General features: G+C 34.2%; 1 annotated feature.

The window, feature by feature from the left end:
• Positions 2,682-2,781: an enhancer, noted in NCBI's record as "active region_24724". NCBI's record gives its function as "activates an Ori minimal core promoter by ATAC-STARR-seq in GM12878 lymphoblastoid cells {active_cell/tissue: GM12878}" and the evidence as "EXISTENCE:reporter gene assay evidence [ECO:0000049][PMID:35858748]".

Consider the following 6,403-nt stretch of genomic DNA (forward strand, 5'->3'; position numbering starts at 1 on the left):
TCCAGAGTCATGTTTTCAACTACTTTACATATATTTCTACTTGTATGAGCTGAAGATATCCACATGTATCAGGGGAACCAGCCCCAAATATTTCAACGTAGGTTCTTTTCTATTTTCCCTAAGTGTCAGCCAGTCTGAGAAATAAAGAGAAAGAGTAATAAGAGAGAAATTTTACAGCTGGGCCTCCGGGGGTGACATCACATATCGGTAGGTCCTTGATGCCCACCTGAGCCTCAAAACCACCAAGTTTTTATTAGGGATTTCAAAAGGGTAGGGGTGTACGAATAGGGAGTAGGTCACAGGGATCACATGCTTCAGAGGGCAATAAAAGATCACAGGGCAGAGGGTGAACTTAGAATTACTGATGAGGTTTCATGTCCCCCTGGGCACACATTGTCTTGATAAACATCTTAACAGGAAACAGGGTTCAAGAGCAGACAACCAGTCTGACTAGAATTCAACAGGCTGGAATTTCTCAATCCTGGTAAGCCTGAGGGCACTGCGGGAGACCAGGGTGTATTTCATCCCTTATCTCCAACCGCATAAGACAGATACTCCCAGAGCGGCCATTCATAGACCCACCCCTGGGAATGCATTCCTTCCCCAGGGTTATTCCTTGCTGGGAAAAGAATTCAGTGATATTTCTCCTACTCACTTTCTGCAAGAAGAAAAATATGGCTCTATTCTGCCTGACCGGCAGGCAGTCAGACCTTATGGTTATCTCCCTTGTTCCCTGAAAATTGCTGTTATCCTGTTCTTTTTCAGGGTGCTCAGATTTCATATTGTTCAAACACACATTTTACAATTTGTACAGTTAATGCAATCATCACAGGGTCCTGAGGCGACATACATCCTCAGCTTACAAAGATGATGGGACTAAGAGATTAAAGTAAAGACAGGCATAGGAAATTATAAGAGTATTGATTGGGAAAGTGATAAATGTCCATGAAATCGTCACAATTTATGTTCTTCCATGGCTTCAGCTGGTCCCTCCATTCGGGGTCCCTGACTTCCCGCAACACACATGCCCCCCTATTTCCTTGCTTTTATTTAGAAACAAAATGTCTGACATAAAGGAGCAAAAGTCAATATTTGCATAAGAGATGTTCATATTTACAGAAGTGAAACTGTTAAAATATACCTTGCCAAACATATCTTGATTTCAAAGTAGTGCAGCTTGTAACTGAAGTCTAGTTACTTTATATAAAATTTTACCTAGGATTTCGTAGTGTGTATAACTGTTAATGATAATATTACTCAGGCAGAAACACAGTAGTGCTGGCCACTCTAGTCCCTTAGCACTTTTCTGCTCTCCTTCCTTGGAGTATTCTTGCTTTTTGAACATTAGAGCTCTCTGAGGTCAATGCCTTACTCCCCTGACTTTGTTCACTATCTACACAGTATTATCAAGCTTTTTGGACTAATGCAGAAGTAGAATGGTATGCTTGAAAAACCTTATGTGAATGTCTTTAAAAAACAACTCAGGGGAGTATTTAGCTTCTCAGGTAGTTGTATTTTGATAGTACCACAAATGGCACAGGATCAACCACTTGTACTTGCTGCCAGGGACAATGCTCTTCCAGAGAAATAAAGTAAATAAATATGTTAGAAATTCTAATAGAATTAAATATGTACATAAATTGTATCTTTATCATGCATTAGAGAAAAGTACACACCTTCATTAACTGATAACATTTTAAAGATATTTCATTATTTAGAAGAAAATTGTTTTTGAGAAGCCTGAATTTCACAAAATAAAATAATTATAGATACAAAGAGAAAAATTACTTTTAATTTAAAAATATTTCCACAAAATGCCTTTTTAGTTACAGTGAAGAAACCCCAATATTATGAAGACATAGAAACTTTCTGTTAATGCAAAATTGAGGGCACTGAACAAACCACAGTACTTACTTTTATTTGCTGACTTTGTGGAACAAAATAAGAAGGGAACATATAAATTTTTAAAGGAAGCTCTGCATGGTGGCTCACATCTGTAGTCCCAGTGTTTTGGGAGGCCCAGACAGGAGAATCACTTGAGGCCAGGAGTTAGAGATGAGCCTGGGCAACAGAGCGAGAGTGTCTGTTGGCCCAGCTACTTGGGAGGCTGAGGCAGGAGGATCCCTTGAGCCAGGAATTTAAGGCCATATGAGCTTTGATCATGCCACCACACTCCAGTCTCGGCAACAGAGCTAAGTCCTATATCTAAAATAAAAAGTATATCTTTTTATTTAATTTAATTTTATAAATTTATAAATAATTTTACAAATTTATAAATAAAATTTATATAAATAAATTTTATAAATTTTAACAAAATAAAATTTATAAATAAGTTTATTTAAAAAATTTATAAATAAATAAATAATTTTATTTATTTAATTTAAAAATAAAAAAGTAAATTTCTGAAGCAAAAGAGGCATCAGAATAAAAAAAGAACTAGAAAGTTCAGTGTTGATTTTGGTGTACTAAAATAAGTTTCAGATTCATGGTTGTAACTCTTTGGATAAATAGCCAATTGTTCAACAATTATTAAAATTATGCTCAAGAACTTGTTCTCTTCAGTTGCAGAGTACAAGTTCAAAGCAAATCAAAACCACTTCCTATTGCAATAGAATTTTGCTCAAGAGAAAAAAAAGAGAGAGAGAGAGACTATTCAAATCTCAAAGTCAAAGCCAAGAGGCTCTGGTGATGAAACAGAAAGTAAAAAAAAGTCCCCTCTGTTTGTTCTTTCTACCTTCTCCAAGCTCATTGTAATAATCCTATAACTTTACACAGCTGTTTTGTTAGCCAACTCAGACTCAGGCTGAAAAGAAAAGATTATAAAGTTAAAGAAATTAGGAAAATATTTTTTGCTCCTTCTTACCACTCTTGGAAATGTTGTTTCGCACTAAATGGTCAAAAGAGGGGAAAAGAGAACAAAGCATTATGTAACTTATGTTAGCTACAAGAATATTAAACATGAATTGTGGAAATAAATCACTTTGTGCTTAGTTGGGGGAAGATAATGGCCATTTTTGGCAAAAATGATTGAAACTGGCAGTTAACACTCACTGTTGTATTTTCTTGTTAAAAATACAGCAACGAGAAAGAAAATTGCTGCATTCATATATTCCACTTGTTTCTTTCATGCCTCAAGTAAACTTAGATTCCTTTCTCAATTTTCAGCCACTGAAGTAAGTAGGATTTACTTCAAGTAGTTGTTTCTGAAATTGTTTTCAATTATCTCAATAAGCTTGTTTCTTCAGGCAGCTGAGAATTTTACTTTCCAGAGGCCTCTATTTGAGATAAATTGGCTCACCAATGCCTAAGCCTCAAGAATAATACATCAACTCAGACATTTTTTCAGGGTTAAGGAGGAAAACGTGACTGCTTCAGTAATGGTAGACAATCCACTTGACAACAGACAAGCTCCTTTATTCAGTGGTGCTAATTCAATAAATATTTACTGAGTAAAAAGGGCCAAGCTCAATGTTGGGTAGATAATAGCAATAAAATTATTTATGTTACAGTATCTGAACTCAAATGAAAACACTGGAACTATCTTCAACAAGTAGAGAATTCTTCATTCCAAAACTCATGGAAAAGGTTTATTGATTTATATGGTTGAATTGAGATACAACAGAACATGAAGAGGATTAAAATTTGTACTGTAGCTGAGAGATACTGTAATTATAATAAGGGAAATAACATTTATTACAGGCTATCCTAACTATGTCACTGAAATTGCTTTTGCAATTCATGTTATTAAAGGCAATGCATAGTATTATTTCCTTATTTTGTCAAATCCACCTGCAGCGTTTACTGTGTTTACTACCTTACCTACTTCAAAATACCGTTTGGCTTTCATATGTCAGTGTGTCCCTTTACAATTCTCATTGTTCCCTCATAGCTTAACTGAGAAACTTTCTTCTACTTGTTCCCTCATAGCTTAACTGAGAAACTTTCTTCTACTTTATAACAAGCAAGAAGTTATGTGCTTTGGACTCCACAATTTGAGAGCTTCTTGCCCTTCTCCAGGTGCACTGCTCCTCACAATGAAAGAAATGGGTGAAAGAGGAAAGAGCATGACCACCTGGAGCCCATCATCCCCCTTCTACAACAAATTCTAGTGATCCAGAACCCCAGGAATCCCTGCCCCATAAATACTCTTGCTTAAATCAAAGGATATCATGAGCCATTTTTTTTCCATTTTCATTCTTCCATGAATGTTCTATGCACATTCATGCACACGTGCAGGTTTGAGAAGTGCCAAAAAACAGCTGTTTGGAGTAAAGGAGATGAACGAACAACATGTTTGCAGGCAAAGGTGAGCACCATCATCTGCATGCATGTAAGCACCATACGGTATGATAAGAAAGCATGAGTAAGAATGGGCTGTAAACTTGGTTCTGCAGACACTATATTGCACAAGAAACTGGTAAGAGTGGATGCCTCTGAGGTGTTAAATCTTTCATTCACATCCCACTAAAATAATAAAAATTAAATATATTGTTAGTAAGTCTGGAATATTATAAATTTAAAAAAAATATTTTTGAATAAAAGTAATGAAGGCACCAATAAAAACAGAGAAAAATATTAATTTACAGAATTATGCCATGATCAAAAACTCAGTGAAATTTCTACCACAATTTCATGTCAGTCTTCAAATAACTTGGCAAGGTAATCCTAACTTCCTAATAATGTATGAGAGTGAGGAAGAGTCAAGATAATTCTGAAGAAAAATAAGAGGGGGAAGTTAACCTACCAAATACTACGTATGTACTGTAGGTAGGCTATAGTAAATTAAACATTATTAACTAAAATCAAGTCATGGAAATGAAAAGAAACATAAATCCAACTCATTAGTATTTTTGGATCTTGGGGTTTAACAGTTGAAGTCTGGATATGTCTGATTGCATCCTTTAAGGGGAAGTTACATGTGTTTCTCAGTTCTATGTATTTGACAGCTAGATACAAAGACTTGATGGAACTCAAGTGTTTGTATGTTTCTTCATTAGAAGACATTTATATATCTATTTTTGTTGCTTTTGGAGAAAAGTAGCAAAAATGCTGATGTTGTTCGATGCCTGTTTATTCATTGCAGAGGTGGGTACAAAATGGCAATATTCTAACTGCATCATTTTGTTTTCATTTATTGGTTAGGATAATTTTATCATATGCTGCTTGTATCTATTATTTCTACAAGGTTTCATTTATGTAGGAAAGGTAGAATAAATGCTCAATTCTATCCTGTAATTTTCTTATTTTTCAATTTCTCTCTCACCTCTGAAAATCGCCAATTAAAATGTATAAGCTCAGAGATTTAAACATATTTTTTCGCCTTTACTCTACATGATTGCAATTCTTATGCATATTGAAGTACAAAATGCCAATTCGCAGGCCAGTGAGAACCCCTTCAAGTTGACTGTGGTGTCCTTTTCATAAAACCCTCATTGACTTTAAGAGCTTGATATCTCTATCTAGCATGTCAAGACGTTTCAGGCTTACCTTGAACATTTTCCCCAAAATACCTTATATTTTGGTACTAAATTATATTGCCTAACCACAATTTTGGCACTATGAACGTTCATTGCCATTGTTGCTAATTGGTTCTAGGATTTTTAGTGGACAAATCTGGGGATAAGTGTGTATATATATATATATATATATATATATATATATATACATATACATCACACACATATACACACACACACATATATATACTGTCATGTTATCACAGATATATAAAATAATATATATAATCATATCTGTTTATACATAAATGTGTGTGTGTGTGTGTGTGTACACATGCATTTGTCATGATGTTTAGGGTGATTTCAAATTCAGGACTATGCGGTTTACTTAATCCCCTCTACAATATATCTCTATTGCCTTCTTTCATACAAATTTCCAAAGAAAATTTCCCAGCATTTTCAATGATAAAGGGAATAATAAAGAATACAACATTCTTGATTATTCATTTGCTTAATCACACTTTATGATACAATTTATAATATAACATTCTTGAAATAATAATACAATGTTAATACTATCACCACCTATTACTGCTCTTATATTGATGTCTCTCTAGTTATTTTGGTTGTCTAAAGTTTTGTCTCTAGTATATTTTTAGAATGAGCTTATGGGGCAATATTGCCTGAGAATAGTCAGGGAAAATGTTTGATAATAGTTTGTGTCATTAATAACTGAAACTTTAGTTTAATTGCTGAATATAGATGGTAAATATATAAAAAAGATAAAATGAATTGTAATTAAACAATATTATCTTTATGATATGTAATAGGCATTTACATTGTCTATTCTATTTTGTATTTGTTTAAAACTTGTGAAGTGAACTAAACTGATCTCACTATCCGTGAGTAGGTTAGATTCTAAAGAACACCATATCTAGAAGTTACAT

This window comes from Homo sapiens, chromosome 6 (genome assembly GCF_000001405.40).
Source record: "Homo sapiens chromosome 6, GRCh38.p14 Primary Assembly".
NCBI lineage: Eukaryota > Metazoa > Chordata > Mammalia > Primates > Hominidae > Homo > Homo sapiens.